This window comes from Homo sapiens, chromosome 3 (assembly GCF_000001405.40).
Source record: "Homo sapiens chromosome 3, GRCh38.p14 Primary Assembly".
In the NCBI taxonomy this organism is placed as follows: Eukaryota; Metazoa; Chordata; class Mammalia; order Primates; family Hominidae; genus Homo; species Homo sapiens.
The window spans coordinates 172,525,229-172,543,751 of record NC_000003.12 but is presented as its reverse complement, the minus strand read 5'-3'; the positions used below and the strand labels follow the sequence as shown (position 1 = coordinate 172,543,751).

At 41.9% G+C, this 18,523-nt stretch overlaps 1 annotated feature.

Annotated features, from left to right (window-relative positions):
- Positions 2,159-2,453: a silencer, noted in NCBI's record as "tiled region #3413; HepG2 Repressive DNase matched - State 9:DNaseU". NCBI's record gives its function as "represses a minimal TATA promoter and a strong SV40 promoter by Sharpr-MPRA in HepG2 cells {active_cell/tissue: HepG2}" and the evidence as "EXISTENCE:reporter gene assay evidence [ECO:0000049][PMID:27701403]".

The window sequence follows — 18,523 nt, the reverse complement described above, 5'->3', positions numbered from 1 at the left end:
AAAATGCTTTTCCCTTAATGGAGAATTAATGCCTTTCAAGCATCTGAAATATGGTAATACTCATAAATGTGTGGTTTGGAAGAATGTTTAAATTATTTTTTCTAGTTTTGTTTTTCCTCAGGATAGATTCAACCGGTAATTTGTAGTAATGACTTTTGGAGTGTGGTAGGAATGTTAAAAGCTAAGTACCTGGCCTTATTGAAGCCACATTGAACTTCCTGCTGATTTTTTTTCCTTCAGTAATAAACAAAATACTATGGGGGAAAAAAGCAATTTTAAAAGGAACAAAATAAGAAACTCAATATAGTAGAAAGGCATTAAACTTGGAGCCAGAAGTTGCTACTGAATATTCAAACGTTAAAAAAGAAAGAGTCTCTGCAAACATTAAGTCACTCAACTGTTCAGCAGTGGAAAGTGTCTTTGGGGTAGGAATGTTTTCAAGTTCTCTGGATACTATCATTGAATATTTTTGAAGTCTGGGTGATGTGTAAGCACCATTACATTGGGCAGCCATCAAGTAGTCTCTAAGTACCGCATTCTTCACAACGTAGTTTCATGTTATCATCACAACAAATCTCTAAGTCTGCATTATTATCCCTGTTTTACAGAGACAAGAACCTGAGGTTTAGAGAAGTTAAATGCCTTGCCCAGGTTCATGCAGTCAGAAAGGGAGAGAGTGCACCAGAGCTTCTCAACCTTTACTGTGCAGGTGAATCCCCTGAAATCTTATTAAAATACAAATGCTGATCAGAGGCAGTGGCTCATGCCTGTAATCTCAGCACTTTGGGAGGCCGAGGCAGTCAGACCACCTGAGGTCAGGAATTCGAGACCAGCCTGGCCAACATGGTGAAACCCTGTCTGTACTAAAAAATACAAAAATTAGCCTGGCGTGGTGGCACTCAGGTGTAGTCCCGGCTACTCGGGAGGCTGAGGCAGGAGAATCGCTTGAACCCAGGAGGCGGAGATTGCAATGAGCTGAGATCGCACCACTGCACTTCAGCCTGGGTGACAGAGCGAGACTCAGTCTCAAAATAATAATAATAATAATAATAATAAATACATAAATACATAAAACAAAATGCAGATGCTGACCCAGGAGATCTGTGGGCCCTGAGAACCTGCATTTATAACAGGCTCCCAGGTGCAGCAGAGACTGCTGGACCATGGACCCACCTCGAGTATTATGGGTTCTGGGGTCACACTGCTTGAAACTCTCAGGCCACCAATTTGTAGTTTAATGTCATAGGACAATTACATTACTTTTTTTCACCAATAAAAATGAGGGTAATGTGACCTCATGGGGTTGCTGTCACATAAAAAGTTATAATACTCATACAAGGCTTAGAAGAGTGCCTGGCACTTAGTGAGCATTCAAAAGTATTAGTTATTTATAATATGTAGCACACAGGTATGCTTCCAGTGATAATTTGTTTGTTACTAAAAGGAGCTAATAAATTATACCAGAGAGCTGTCAGCACAGTTCTAGCCCAGCAAGGAACTCTGCCTTCTTATATTCTGTAACTCTCACTCCTTATATTCTACTCAGATGTCTTACCTAGTTATTTCACATAATATTATGGAAAAACACTTGATTCCCAGAAGACTCTCTTATCTGGAGAAATAATCTCCCATATCTTTTTTTCAAAATCAGGTTCACTATGTGGAAGGAAACATTTTTCTAGGAAAAGATCCAAGGTTGAGAATCCAGCCAATTATTTAAAACTGTTGATTAAATCTAGACTGACAAATACTGTTGATGTAAACTATTTTGAAGTCAAAATGTTACCTTAAATGAAATAATCAACCAAAGACATTTTGGGGGAAAATTGCAGATTACAAATATTATTAATACCAAGTTCCTCCCCTCTCCAACACCCTGCCACAACACTGCTGTCTGATCACAGAGATTAAAGCTATGGCCTGGTCTTTCTTTGTTCCTTTCCTTTATCCTCTTCCTTTGTCATTTAGCCAAGCTCTAAAATTAAACTCAGTAAGTTTATTTATTTTTATTTTTATTTTTTTGAGACAGAGTCTCGCTCTGTTGCCCAGGCTGAAGTGTAGTGGCGTGATCTTAGCTCACTGCAACCCCTGCCTCCCCGGTTCAAGTGATCCTCCTGCTTCAGCCCTCCAAGTAGCTGGGATTACATGTGTGCACCACCACATCCAGCTAATTTTTGTATTTTTAGTAGAGACAGGATTTCACCATGTTGGCCAGGCTGGTCTGGAATTCGTGACCTCAGGTGATCCGCCCGCCTCTGCCTCGCAAAGTGCTGGAATTAGAGGAGTGAGTCACCACACTTGGCCAAAATTCAACAAGTTTAGAAAGGATCCTGGCCAGGCACAGTGGCTCACACATGTAATCCCAGCACTTTGGAAGGCTGAGGCGGGCGGGTTACTTGAGGTCAGAAGTTCGAGACCAGCCTGGCCTACACGGTGAAACTTGTCTCTACTAAAAATACAAAAACAAGCTGGGTATGGTGGCGTGTGCCTGTAATCCCAGCTACTCGGGAGGCTGAGGCAGGAGAATTGCTTGAACCTGGGAGGCAGAGGTTGCAGTGAGCCGAGATCGTGCCATTGCACTCCAGCCTGGGGGACAAGAGCAAAACTCCATCTCAAAAAAAAAAAAAACAAAAAAAGAAAGGATCTTAACAACACCTCTAACCCTGTCTTTGGTCAATGGAGAGACAAGCTAATTCGTTCAGTTGGAAATATACTTTCTAAACAAATATGTTTCTTTATTGCTGGTTTAGCAAGAATTATTTTTGTTTTATAAAATGTGTAGTTTTATGAAATCCAATTTTTATTAAAATAGAAATTTGTTAAAGCGGACATGATCAATTCTAAGAATAATGTGGATAAAATATAGGCATTTTGTGTCTTTTAAAAATAAATTAAGATTTACATATGTATTAGTGAAAACAAAATATGGTAAAAACTTGGCATGTTTAACTTCTCAATATACAGTTCATATTGAGTATGATTTTCTCCCATTGAATCTGGGAGAAAATTGATTATCCCTGTCTTTCCAGAAAATGCATTCTTCAGTATCAACACAATGTTGATACTGCCAAAAGAAAAAAAAAAATTAACGATACCTAGAGCTATTTCACTGCTAAACCTAAAACTATTTGATTTTACAATTACTGTATTTTCTGCATTGATGATATGTTCGTTATAGTCCAGTAGTATTGAAAAACAACATGGTTCTTTTTAAAGGTACTCATTCATCTATTATTAAAGGGATGGCTGAAAAGTAATAAACATCATACTCAACTATTACACAAACCTACTCCAACTTCTTTTATCAAGAGATTAACTACAACTAGATCAGTAAATAGCTCAGTTACAATCTTGACATTTTGTTTTTTCACTCTACTATTATTGTTGAGGATTCTGCGATTAATACTACCACAGTCATGACTGCTAACAGTGAGATCCACAATTATGAGTTTCATGGGCCCCAGGCCCTTTTGTCTGAGTCCCTTCTTCCATAAAATATGTTAACAATTATATTTTATGACTGCATTGGTAAAAAAACAAATATAACCCAGGTTGGATTACTTATTATACACTCATTATTCATTTTTTATCTGATTTTTTAAAAAATTAAAATTAAAACATTTTTTATCAACTCATAAAGTTTCATGGGCCTCAGGCACTTTGCCTACTGTGCCTAATGGGTAAGTTGGCACTACTAAAAGCAGCTAACTAGTGCTGAGCCCTCGTTAGTGTCAGGTATTGTGTTAACCCAGTTTCTTGCATTGTCTTACTGAACCTCCATATAACTCTTTTTTTTTTTTTTTGAGACGGAGTTTGGCTCTGTCACCTAGGCTGGAGAGTAGTGGCACAATCTTGGCTCACTGCAACCTCTGCCTCCTGGGTTCAAGCAATTCTTCTGCCTCAGCCTCCCAAGTCAACGGGGGCTACAGGCATGCGCCACCATGCCCAGCTAATTTTTGTATTTTTAGTAGAGACAGGGTTTCACCATATTGGCCAGGCTGGTCTCGAACTCCTGACCTCGTGATCTGCCTGCCTCGGCTTCCCAAAGTGCTGGGATTACAGGTATGAGCCACCATGCCTCGCCCATACAACTCTATAACATAAATATTAGTATTATTCCCACTTCACAGATAAGAAAACGGTAGCAGAAAGAAGTCACAGAGAAAATAATCACAGAGACCAGAATCAAATCCAGCCCCTCTTGATCCAAAGCCCGTGAATTTTATCACTACCCCATACGCCTTCCAAGAATTGATGGCTCAATAGGTCACTAACCCAGGGAGGAACCTGGTTACCAGCCTAGACTAATAGTTAAGGCATCAAACAGGCCATTCTCTTCTAAGCTGTAAAACACTGTGTTAACTTCTTCACCAGCTATAAGACCCTACTATAAAAAAACACAGATTGACTGCCAGTCATGCAGATATTGGACATGATTTAGGTGCTGTTAACCTGACTTCATACATCTGAAGTCTTTGAGAAACAAAAGCTAAAGTTGTTGAATTTCTTCTAAGTAGAGAACTGTTAGGATCTGTTAGTTAAATTCATTTTTGAAAATAAAGAATTTTCAATGCATAGTCATTATTTTCTGGTCATTTCCCCTCCCATTTTTCCATGTAAGTTATTTGCATCATCTCTTGCTAAATGATTCTAGTAGGCAAGTAGCAGAGACTGACCTGATGACAGAGAAACTGACTCCAGTAGAGCTACTTGGCAAGAAATATCCAGATAGTGTGCAGAAAAGGAAAAAAAAAAAAAACAAAAAGAGGAAGAAACCTCTGGGAAACAATAAAATGCCTACCATACCCACAGGAAAAAAAACAGCAATCCAAATAAGTCAAGGGAAAAACAAAAAATATTAGCCTGAATTTCCCCAAGTGTAACTGTCAGAATGATTTGCTTTAGTTCCCATCAGACATAGTGACCTTCGTTAGACAATAGAGGTGAAAACAGATCATGTCTTCTTATTTCCTGGCTTAGTAAGCAGTAGGTGTTTGGGAAGGAAGGGATGCCCTATTTTCCTCTGTATTCAACAGGAGTGACTAAAGCTTTTGAGGCACCAACCAACAAAGTGTCTAGATACAACAATCCTTCAAAATTATTTTTTTCTCACATTTCTTCATAGGGAAAATATCCTGCAGCCCAAGGGTGTAACCACCCAGAGGGTTCACTTTGCCCCCTGCCTAGACAGAGCCAATTCATGAAGACAGGGGAATTGCAATAGAGAAAGAGTGATTCACGCAGAACTGGCTGTGCGGGAGACCAGAGTTTTATTATTTCTCACATCAGTCTCCCTGAGCATTCAGGGAGCAGAGCTTTTAAGGATAACTTGGTGGGTGTGGGGAAGCCAGTGAGCCAGGAGTGCTGACTGGTCAGAGATGAAATCACAGGGAGTTGGAGCTGTCTTCTTGTGCTCACTCAGTTCCTGAGTGGGGGCCACAAGATCAGATGAGCCAGCTTATTGATCTGGGTGGGGCCAGCTGGTCCATCAAATTCAGAGTCTGCAAAATATCTCAAGCACTGATCTTAGAAGCAATTTAGGGAAAGTCAGAATCTTGTAGCCTCCTAAACTATAATTTCTAATCTTGTGGCTAATGTTCATCCTACGAAGGCAATCTAGAGCAGTCCCCTGGCTCTGGAAGGAGGTCTTTTGGGAAAGTGCTTTGGGGAAGGGCTGTGACTGCCTTTGTTTAAACTATAAATTAAGTTTCTCCCAAAGTTAGTTCAGCCTATGCCCAGGAATGAACAAGGACAGCTTGGAGGTTAGAAGCAAGATGGAGTCAGTTAAGTTAAATCTCTTTCACTGTCTCAGTCATAATATCGCAAAGGTGGTTTCAAGGGTGCTGTTTGTACTACAGGAAGAGATGTTTACTTTAGTAGGGAAGAAGGAAAATTAATCTGCTTGCTTGTAGATTGATTAAGTTAGATTTCTTCTTTCAAACAATTGAGTTTCAAACAATAATTGCCTGGAAATGAGCCTATACTCACTGTGTGTAGGACTCCTCCCACAACGGATTCTACCTTTTAACCTCTGTATCTTTGTTAGTTTGAAAGTCAAACAGAACTTGTCATTTTGGTTGCCTTTTTAGTTAAAATTCTAGCTATGAATGTCCTGTGAAGACAAGAGGGTATGGGGTCAGGAGGCCCCCATAGGAGACCCAGAATTGAGTCTTCTTTCCCAAGGAAGGAAGAAAGGTTGCAAAACTTACAGAAACTTGGAAGAGGCATTTGTGAATTTACAAATTTTACAAATATTTGCTAAGCACCCTCTTAATACTGAGATACTGAATTACTGAAATAAATGCAAAAGCAAAAGTTCTCTCTCTGCCTACCAGTGTTTCTCCCTGTCTGACAGGCTCTAAGACTATGTTCTGCCTTTCTTGTGACAGCATAAGAAAGACATAAAACGATTCAGGGCAGCGATTTACTTATCGAGAAGCCAGCTAGCCCCAGACTTCCTTTCTCACACTGATATGTACATCACTCACCATAAAAAACACCCTACTAGCATTAGATCCTCCCCTAGATTTGCCTCTGACATGTCCAGGCGAGCAGTTTTGGTCTCCAGGAACTGTTGTAGGCTGAACTGCCAAATGGGATGAAACTCCTCACCCTCTCTGGTACCATTGCCATTCCCTGACTCAGACATTTCAGGCCTGCTCTTCAGTGTCAGGGCCTGTAGTCCAAAACTACCTCCTCCAGGAAGCCCTGTCAGCATCCTCTCACGCTTACCTCCCTCCTGTACACCTACTGCTTATTAAGTGCCAGAAACTCCTAGCATTGGTAATCAAAGACAATAAGATGGGCCTCTACCTATTAGGGGGGCAGTCCTGTGGGGGAGTCCAACTTATAATAAAATGCAAACGCAATACTGTCATAGGTTATTTGAAAACAAAGGAACAAGGAGCAAAGTGGTTGAAAGAAGAATAGTTGTGTACTCTACTGGTGTGGAAAGAATGATAGGGAAGTGTTTGCCCAAACAAGTTACACCTGTTAACTTCCTCCCTCCTCCCAGCAGGTAAACATCCTGGTCCTTCTTTACCATTTCCTGGCTGAACCTAACAGCCCTCTGGGCTCAAGTGCTGATTGCAGAAGGCCTGGAGAAAGGGAAGGAAACTTTACTCCTGCCTCATTTGCATCTTCAGGCCTACTCAGAAAGCCACCTGAACTGTTAGAATCCCTACTAGATGGAAGAGAAACTTGGGATCAGAGAAGTCAACTGGCCTGGCCAAGAGCACACAGCTAGTAAGATCTCCTTCTGACATGCATTACTATAGTGGACTGTTCTCCAATTGTTATAATTGGGTAATTTATAAAGAAAAGAGGTTGAATTGGCTCACAGTTCTGCAGGCGGTACAGGCTGGCATCTGCTTGGCTTCTGAGGAGGCCTCAGGGAGCTTTTACTCATGGGAGAAGGTGAAGTGGGAGCAGACACATCACATGGCCAGAGTGGGAGCAAGAGAGAGAGTAGGGTGGGGGGAGTGCCACACACGTTTAAACAACCAGATCTCAGGAGAACTCACTCACTATTGCAAGGACAGCACCGTGCCGTGAGGGATCCACCCCTGTGACCCAAGTCTAGCACATGGGCCATTAGGAGAATTTTCTGGAGATGTCTGAGGAATTTTTTCCTCAGTCTTAAGAGTAAGGTAGGATTGGGCCAGGCATGGTGGCTCACGCCTGTAATCCCAGCACTTTGGGAGGCTGAGGCGGACGGATCATGAGGTCAGGAGATCGAGACCATCCTGGCTAACATGATGAAACCCTGTCTCTACTAAAAATACAAAAAATTAGCCAGGCGTGGTGGCGGGCGCCTGTAGTCTCAGCTACTCGGGAGGCTGAGGCAGGAGAATGGCGTGAACCCGGAGGCAGAGCTTGCAGTGAGCCGAGATTGCGCCACTGCACTCCAGCCTGGGCGACAGAGCGAGACTCCGTCTCAAAAAAAAAAAAAAAAAAGAGTAAGGTACGATTGGACTTCTGACTTTTGATAATGGCTGAGTAGATAGTATTGAACTACTTCTCTGCTCATAACAATTCTAAATTTGGGGAAAAATATTTTCTAAAAACAACTGTTTCAAGGCACTGATGAGCAACCAAAAGCAAGCAGAAACTAGAAGAGACACAAGCCTTGAAATAAGGGAAACACACTGGGTAAGATATGATATCTAACTGGCTTTCCCATGAGGGAACTCTCCAGTGTGCAAAATGCAGGGGAATAGAGTTCAAGCAGAAAACAGCTGTTTTATTTACCTATGTAACAAACCTGCACATCCTGCACATGTACCCCAGAACTTAAAAGTTCAAGAAAGAAAGATTCATAAAATGTAAAAGAAAAGAAAAAAGAAAGAAAACAGCAGTTTTATTGGACTGAGGAGTCTGAGAATAGTTTTGGGGATTATTATAGCAGCAGCTTAAAATTGAAGAGAAAATCCCAGAAAGAAGGGAGCCACAGAGAAGTGAGCTCTAAAACCTGAATACAAATTTCCCTCAAATGCTTGGCTGAATCCTAAACTATCCATGCACATAGCAAGACTCCAGGGAGACCAGTGGAAAGCAACTCTGAAAACCTGAAGAGATGAGCAAGGATTTTAGCAGCTACTCAGTACAAGGGGAGACTGAGTTTGGAGTTCAAATCTTACCAAGTTAGAAGACTCGGTAAATTCCTTGGTCTTTACTAAAACCCCAGGAGGGCCAGGTCTTGAAAGTAAGTACCAAAGCCCAGGACTAATAGCTATTCCCTAGAACTAAGGGAAAACAAAATAGACTTGCTATAGCAAAACCTAAAACCAAGTTTCCATGGGATCAAGGTGATCCACCTGTGATTTAACCGCCCGCCAGGAAAAAACTCAATCATCTTCAGAGGAAGATTACATAATCCACAGTTTAAATAATGTATCATTTGTGCTGTCTGGTATATAACCAAAAATTACTAGAATGGGAAGAAACAGGAAAATAAGACCCATATTAAATTTATAATAAAGTTAATAATTAAAGAGCCATTAGTGACATAGATATTGGAATTAGTAGACGAGAACTTTAAAACAATTACAAACATATTTTTTAAGTCAGTAGGAAAAAATGGTTATAAATAGTGAAGGAATGGGGAACCTCAGGAAAGGTGTGAAATTCTGAAAAAGAACCAGATGGAAACCCTAAAAGTGAAACAAACAATATCGAAATAACACATTCATCAAATGGAAATTATGGAAAATTAAATAATGCAGAAGAAATATTTTGTAGTATTGAGGGCAAGACAGTAACAAAGATACACATACTGGACTAGAGAGAAGAAAATTGATGGGGCTGGGGGTGCGGAAAGAATGAGACATCAATGACCCGTTACACAGTATCAAGTATAGTCTCCAGATTACAATGATTAGTTACACCTAATGATTTTTCAACTTTATGATGGTGTGAAATTATTGCAATTTTGATGTATTTCAAACTTTCAATTTTGATCTTTTCCCAAACTAGCAATATGTGTTACATGAGATATTCAACATTTTACTATAAAATAGGCTTCATGTTATGAAGCCCAATGACTTCAGGGGAGTGCATGAGTTGAACTGGCAAAAAGCAATCTGCTTTTGCCATAGGCCTCTGGAATCCTGACAGGAGGAGACCCCTCGGCCATCAGGGACACTCAAGTTGGCAGGAGAGCTGCTTAGAGAAGTGGTAGGGGCAGCACACGAGCTGAAATGGATCCAAGACAATTTGGTACAGGAGCATCTGTAGCGGAGGATGGCCAGAGAAGCTCATCTCCCTGGGCTTGACTTGCTCCCATAGGAGACTTTAGCCCTAGTGGAACAGTTGGACCTGAATTCTGAAGGACGGTCTTGCCTATCAGACGGGGTGGGTTTAACCCGAGGACCCCTTGGTCTGCTGGCCTCTTCTAGGGCCCCAGCCTGGCTACACCTGCTTGCAAGGCAGCCTTGGGTACCCCAGGGGCCCACATCATAGCTGGTGGATCATGTCTGATTGGTGGAGAGCTCCAGCGGGGTGGCCCTCATGGCCATGCACCAGCCTGCCCACTCCCTTCCCAGACTGCAGCTTCCCCCAGGTCGATGGCAAAACCCCACATCACTTTGCCAGTTTGTGCGTGTATGAGTGGGTTTTGCCTTCCTTGCCCCACCTGTACGCCTGTGTGTATGCACCCTGCCCTGACACTGTTGCAACAGGAGTGCACTCTGCTGTGCCCCCCACCGCGCCAGACCACCATTGCAGTCAGAGCCTTGGCAGGCACAGAGCCAAGCAAATGGAAAAGAGAAAAACACTGGGGTTACAATCCTAGTTTCAGACAAAAGAGACTGAAACCAACAAAGATCAAAAAAGACAAAGAAGGGCATTACATAATGGTAAAGGGTTCAATTCAACAAGAACACCTAACTATCTTAAATATATATGCACCCACCACAGGAGCACCCAGATTCATAAAGCAAGTACTTAGATACCTTCAAAGAGACTTAGACTCCCACATAATAACAGTGGGAGACTTTAACACCCCACTGACAATATCAGACAATCAACACAGAAAATTAACAATACAATACAATAAGTCTTCATTAATGTTGTCAACAGGTTCTTGTAAACTGTAAACTTAAGTGAAACAACATACTGTATACCACAGGAATTTGCCTTGTTTATGTCAATTAGCCTATAGTAAAATTAGTTTTGTTATACGGTACGTTGTCTCACTTAAAGTTGCAGTTTGCAAGAACTTATGAATGACGCAAGTGAAGACTTACTGCTTACATATATTTTAAAGCTCTTATAAATCAACAATAAAAATTTGAAAAGCCCAACGACAAAAATACATGAATAAACAAATCACGAAGAATCATTAGTCATTAGGGAAATAAAATAAACCATAATGAGCCACCACTTCACATCCACTACAATGGGTATGATTTTTTGTTGTTGCTGTTGTTCAGAAAGAAGCTTCCTATATTTATTAATGGAAATTTCATGTCCCCAATTAAGTATTTTATAACATTTGCTTAGAAGACATATGTTCAAGCAATATATGTTTTGGAAACATTGTCACATGATTTCAAGATCAGAATACATCTCCTGTCCCCTCATCCACCACTCTCGGAAGACGTTCCTTTTCACCGTGGATGGAAAGATTAAACATACACATTTCAAACAATATCAGAGTTAAAGTTATCAATTTACAACCAGCACGGGAATAAGTACTTACAATTTCAATGTTTTGGGTTGTTTCCAGTCTTTTATTTGCAATTCCTTTAGAGACAGTGGTGAATTTGGAAAATATACATATCTCCATTGTCACCCTCTTTCGTGTCCAAAATCTTGACTTCTATCCAATTTTTTTCGCTAAATTAAGAGTTTTCATTATTTCAGATCTTCTCTTCTCCACTTTAAAGTTGACATTTTACATGTCAACTTTATGTAAAATGTGCAGGAATATTTTACATAAAGTAGAAACTATGACTTCTGTAATTTGATAGAATTTGTCTTTAAAATTTGCAGAACATGACCAGGTGCAGTGGCTCACACCTGTCATCTCAGCACTTCGGCAGGCCAAAGAGGGTGAATCACTTGAGGTCAGGAGTTTGAGACCAGCCTGGCCAACATGGTGAAACCCTGTCTCTACTAAAAATACAAAAATTAGCCAAGCATGGTGGTGGGTGCCTGCAATCCTAGCTACTCAGGAGGCTGAGGCAGGAGAATCGCTTGAACCTGGGAGGCGGAGTTTGCAGTGAGCCGAGATCGCGAGTGGCTGTGATTTTTTTTAAACTGCCAATATCAAGTGTTGGTGAGGATGTGTGGGCAATCGAAATACACAGATTATTTATTAGAGTGTAAAATGTTACAACCTCTTTGAAAAACTGTTGGCAGATTTTTTTTGTTTGTTTTTGAGGCAGAGTCTCGCTCTGTCACCCAGCCTATAGCCCAGGCTGGAGTGCAGTGGCGTGATCTCGGCTCACTGCAACCTCCACCTTCCAGTTTCAAGCTATTCTCCTGCCTCAGCCTCCCGAGTAGCTGGGACTACAGGTGCTCGCCACCACGCCCAGCTAATTTTTTGTATTTTTAGTAGAGACGGGGTTTCACCGTGTTAGCCAGGATGGTCTCGATCTCCTGACCTTGTGATCTGCCTGCCTCAGCCTCCCAAAGTGCTGGGATTACAGGTGTGAGCCACCACACCTGGCCTTTAATTTTTTATTTTTTAATTGAGATGGAGTCTAGTTCTGTTGCCCAGGCTGGCGTGCAGTGATGAGACCTTGGCTCACTGTAACTTCCACCTCCAGGGTTCAAGCAATTCTCATATCTCAGCCTCCCATGTAGCTGGGACTACAGGCAAGCACCACCATGCCCAGCTAATTTTTTTGTATTTTTAGTAGAGGCAGAGTTTCACCATGTTGGCCAGGCTGGTCTCAAACTCCTGACCTCAGGTGATATGCCCGCCTCAGCCTCCCAAAGTGCTGGGATTACAGGCATGAGCCACCACACCTGGCCAGCAGTTTTTTAAAAAAGTTAAACATCTACACTGTGACCAGAAATTCTATTCTTCAACACTTACTTTATAAAAAGCTTTTGTGCATAAAAACTTTACAAAAACATTCAACATTACTTTATTCATAATTATCAAAAACTGAAAACAACCCTAAAGCTCATCAATAGAAGGGACAAATAAATTATGGAATACTACTTACTAATAAAAGAGAACAAACTACTGATGCACGCAAAATAGGGATAAATCTCAAAAACATTATATTAAGGAGGAAAAAAAGCCAAAAAGTAATTACCTGGAGGGGGTTAACTGGAAAAGTGCATGAGGGAACTTTTGCTCTAGGACTGCCAGGTTTGTAGGCCTGCTGTGTAGCAACAGACTATTACCCTGACAGTTATCAATGAGCTGAAAAGGTCCCTTGTGGTTTGAGCTGATAACATCCCTTCTGGCTGTGGCATTTAGCTTTTGCTTTGACTAACCAGCATGCAACTTCCTTCCAGTGTTGAAATTTTCCCAACTTGCAAGGCAGAGCTCACTTCTCATCCGATAAACTGAAAATGTTAGATACTCACCTTCTCATCCTCCCTTGAAGCTAGGGTGTGACATGACCTAGACTCTGCCAATCAGGTACATAAACACACACGAAACAGAAGCTAGTGATGAATTATGAAGCTCATGAATTATGAAGCAGAAGAAGGCACTGAGCAGATTCTGTTCTGGGGGTTTTGTCCACTGACTACTGTATTCAGTTTCCAGAAACAGCAGTGTCACTGGTTCTAGGAGCAGCCTCTGATGGCTAGTGTAGGTGGCACCAGTGTTGCAGCTGTGACATGTGTATCCCATGGTGGAAGCAGTTATATTGCTACCAAAGTGACTGTGTGTATATTCAGTTTCCAGAAACAGCAGCATCACTGGTTCTAGGAGCAGCATCTGACATCTAGTGTAGGTGGCACCAGTGTTGCACCTGTGATATGTGTATCCTGCAGTGGAAGCAGTTATATTGCTATCCGAGTGACTGCGTGTGTATTCAGTTTCCAGAAAAGCAGCATCACTGGTTCTAGGAGCAGCCTTTGATGTCTAGTGTAGGTGGCACCAGTGTTGCTCCTGTGATGTGTGTATCCTGTGGTGGAAGCAATTATATTGCTACCAGAGTGACAGTGTGGATAGGTTTTGGTGATTCTGGATTTGACAGCTCCAAATCTACGTTTACAGCAACCTCAGCCGCCACCAAGATTCAAACAACCCCATATCCTTTTGATAAAGTCATTTTTCTGTTTCCATTTGTCGGAATTGGTGTTAGTCGCTTGACACTAAAACACTACTTGAAATTTGGTTGAAGCTATCTTAAGTGGCGTTCTTTGTTAATTGTAGCTGAATGTATTTAAATAATCCCCAGTCCTAAGCTCTATCAGTTTTCTATTGCCACAATAATTATTTATTCTTGCTCACTTGTCCATGGGTTGCCTGGGAATCAGCTGATCTAGGCTGTGTTGAGCTGACTTTGGCTCCAAAATGTGGACTGGGTCTATCTCAGCTCCATGTATCTCTCATCCTCCTTGGACTACCCAGTGTTTGTCTTCTCATGGAAATAACAGAGTTGGACAAGACCAACCATGAAATTTTAATCTAAGCCTTCTCATGTTAGGTTTACTGATATTCCAATGGTCAGATCACATTACCAAGTCCCACATGGGTGAAGAGGGGATATATACTCCTTATATACTGATATGAACTGTGAAGCCACATGGCAAAAGGTATGAATAGAGAGATGGATGAAGAATTGGAGAAAATAATAAGATCTACCATATTAACCTATACCCCACCCCATCCTCCAACATAAAGAAAGAAACACTTAGGTAGTGACTACTGTTGGTATAATTGCTGTTTTTTTGGTTTGTTTTTGTTTTTTTTTGAGACGGAGTCTTGCTCTGTCACCTAGGCTGGAGTGCAGTGGCATGATCTCAGCTCACTGCAACCTCCACATGGCCTGATATAATTGTTTTAATAGCTATTGAAGTCTTCTCAGAAGATGCTGGGTGTGGTGGCTCGTGCCTGTAATCCCAGCACTTCGGGAGGCTGAGGCGGGTGGGTCACCTGAGGTCAGGAGTTCGAGACCAGCCTGGCTAACATGGCGAAACCCCGTCTCTACTAAAAGTACAAAAATTAGCCAGATGTGGTGGCAGGCACCTATAATCCCAGCTACTCGGGAGACTGAGGCAGGAGAATCACTTGAACCCAGGAGGCAGAGATTGCAGTGAGCCGAGATCACATCATTGCATTCCAGCCTGGGAGACAGAGTGAAACTCTGTCTCAAAAAAAAAAAAAAAAGCTGTTATCTCCAAAGAGTTTGTAAAAAGTGGACAGATACTTTGTATTGCTTAAGAGGACTCACCTGGCAGCAGTTTGCCCTCTTCATTCTGGAAGCTCAGTTGTCCCAACACATATGAGATTACTAGCCTGAATGAGCAGCTATTGAGTGGTGGAGTATGGATGCTCGGGCAGAAGTGTCCAAACACATATCCAATGTCATATCTAGTGTGATGGGGGGAGGAGGAATAAATGATTTGAGGAATACAGAATTGTTTTTGCTCCAATATAGTGTGGATAAAATAGCCAAAGTTTAGAGCAATTTACCTGGAAGCAAATAGATGTGAATTCTAGTCATTCTGCCATTTTGTAATTCAACAACCACGACTAACTCACTTAACTTTTGGTGCTTTAGTTTCCTTATCAACCAAGCAATAGAATTTTCCTGGGGGTCTTTAAGATGTCTAACAGTCCAGTCATTTTATGATTCTACCATTGTCTGATTATAAAAATAATAGGATTTGGCTGGGCGTGGTGGCTCATGCCTGTAATCTCAACACGTTGGGAGGCCGAGACGGGTAGATCATCTGAGGTCAGGAGTTCGAGACCAGCCTGGCCAACATGGCAAAACCCCGTCTCTACTAAAAATACAAAAATTAGCTGGGTGTGGTGGCACGTGCCTATAGTCCCAGCTACTTGGGAGGCTGAGGCGGGAGAATTGCTTGAACCCAGGAGGCGGAGGTTGAAGTGAGCAGAGATCATGCCACTGCACTCCAGCCTGGTGACAAAGCGACATTCCATCTCAAAAAAAAATTTAAAAAACAATAATAATAGAATTCATTTCTTCACTCAAAGACAGTGTGTCCAAGACCTGACAAGACTTCATTTTTATTTTTATTTTACTTTTTATTTTTTTGAGTCTACGTGTCCTGCTCTTGCCCAGGCTGAGGTGCAGTGCATGATCTCAGCTCACTGCAACCTCCTCCTCCGAGCCTGAAGTGATTCTCCTGCCTCAGCCTCCGGAGTAGCTGGAATTACAGGCACGCACCACCATGTCCGTGAGCCACCGCACGCGCCCAGCCTAACAGCTCTTATAATTAAATCCTTACTTCAGAAGAAAAGTTTTAAAATCTTTAAAAATCTTCAAAAATCTTCACAGGGCACCAGTGGCAGCAACAGCTTCTGTTTTTCCCTTCATGTTAAAAGCAAACAAGGATCAACTATTGGCAAAATTAAGTGCTGGAAGTATAGATCTTTTAGAGAAATACCCAGCCTTATAGTCCCGAAACCTTTTCCTGCATCTCTGCTTGAGGAATGTACAGTCTTCTCTTCACCTCCTTTGTCCCTTGGTCTGATTAGGAAAACAATCCAAGCCTCCCAGTGTGGTTACTTAAACTTACTTTAACATTTACATTTTAACTAACATCTTTATTCACAGAATGAAATATTTGGCACTTAGTCTAGGGATGTCATGCACTAGGAAACAAGTAATAGATTTCTTGTAAGGCTTGGTGGGGAAGACTTAACAATTCTGTGTCTGTGACCATTCTGCAGAACACACTGCTGCTCCTGAGGTAAAGAGCCTTAAGATTCTGGAGACTATGAAATGCTCATTCATCCAACCAGCATAGATCGTGCTCACAGTGTGCAAGGCATTGGTAGCAATGCATGTGGCAAAGTTTCACTCTCATGCAACCTACATTCTTATAAATGGGGTAGCCATAAAATAAACAAATAAGTATAGAAACAAACAAGAGGCTGGGCGTGGTGGCTCACGCCGGTAATCCCAGCACTTTGGGAGGCCGAGGTGGGCAGATCACGAGGTCAGAATATTGAGGCCATCCTGGCTAACAAGGTAAAAGCCCATCTCTAGTAAAAATACAAAAAATTATCTGGGTGTGGTGGCATGCACCTGTAATCCCAGCTACTCAGGAGGCTGAGGCAGGAGAATCGCTTGAACCCAGGAGGTGGAGGTTGCAGTGAGCGGATACGGCGCCACTGCACTCCAGCCTGGGGGACAGAGTGAGATTCCGTCTCAAAAAAAAAAAAAAAAAAAGGAAACAAGATACACTGGAAGTTCTCTAACCTTCAGTCAGTATGTTCCACACAGGGAATGAAGAACTTAGGCTATTCTTCTGTTTCCATCTATATATCTAACAAGAATTAAATTATTCTCAGAACTGATTATGCCAGTTGTAATTACATAGTTCATATAAATATCATGGAAGCCAATAAAATATGAGTTGTTTCTTGGAATGCTGAATTTAATGCTTTGTAAGGACTTCATTAAAAATTACTTAAAAATTATAAAACAGGCCGGGTGCAGTGTGTAATCAAGCCTGTAATCTCAGCACTTTGGGAGGCTGAGGAGGGTGGATCACTTGAGGTCAGGAGTTCAAGACCAGCCTGACCAACATGGTGAAACCCCGTCTCTACTAAAACTACAAAACATTAGCCAGGCATGGTGGTGCACAGCTGTAATCCCAGCTACTCAGGAGGCTGAGACACGAGAATCTCTTGAACCTGGGAGGCGGAAGTTGCAGTAAGCCGAGATCCCACCACTGCACTCCAGCCTGGGCAACAAAGTGAGACTCTGTCTCAAAAAAAAAAAAAAGTATTTTTAAAAGGTTCTCAGCCGGGTATGGTGGCTCACGCCTGTAATCCCAGCATTTTGGGAGGCCAAGGCAGGTGGATCACCTGAGGTCAGGAGTTTGAGACCAGCCTGGCCAACATGGTGAAACCCTGACTCTACTAAAAATACAAAAAAAAAAAAATTAGCCAGGTGTGGTGGCGGGCACCTGTAGTCCCAGCTACTCGGGAGGCTAAGGCAGGAGGACCACTTGAACCCAGGAGGTGGAGGTTGCAGTGAGCTGAGATTGTACCACTGCACTCCAGCCTGGGTAACAGAGTGAGACTCTGTCTCAAAATAAATAAATAAAATAAAATAACAAATTCTCACTCCAGTTTAAAGAAACTGAATTGCTGATTAAAGGTTATGGTTAATGTATGGATGCCAGTCAGCAGATCCATGCTAGTAATAATAATAATAATGGCTTTAGCTCTATATTATTTAAACATTGTTATAACAAAAAGATTAAGATTTCTCTATATCAAATATGTATATATAATATCTTCATATTTAATACGTTAGGAGGCTCAAAGATAGAGGTAGCCAGACCTCTTGACTTTTTTTTTTTTTTTTTTTGAGCTGGAGTCTTGCTCTGTCACCCAGGCTGGAGTTCAGTGGCACGATCTCTGGTCACTGCAAGCTCTGCCTCCCGGGTTCACACCATTCTCCTGCCTCAGCCTCCCAAGTAGCTGGGACTACAGGCACCCACCACCATGCCCTAATAATTTTTTGTATTTTTAGTAGAGATGGAGTTTCACCGTGTTAGCCAGGATGGTCTCGATCTCTTGACCTCATGATCCGCCCGCCTCGGCCTCCTAAAGTGCTGAGATTACAGGCGTGAGCCACCGCGCCCAGCCGACTCTTGTAACTCCTCAAATCACCCCATCTCTTGACCTGACCCCGAGATAAGCCTCCTTATTTCCACACTCTAGACTTTCTTACGTGCTTATAAGATAGAGATGTTGACTTCCTGCACGTTTCCCATTCCTTCGTTTCATGCCTTTCACGTACATCATAGCCGTAATGTTTCTATTTCTGGATTATAACAAAGGTGTTAAGTTGGTTTTCTTTGGTCTTCTCCCCTGTGTTTCTCTGCCATCTCTCGTTTCTTG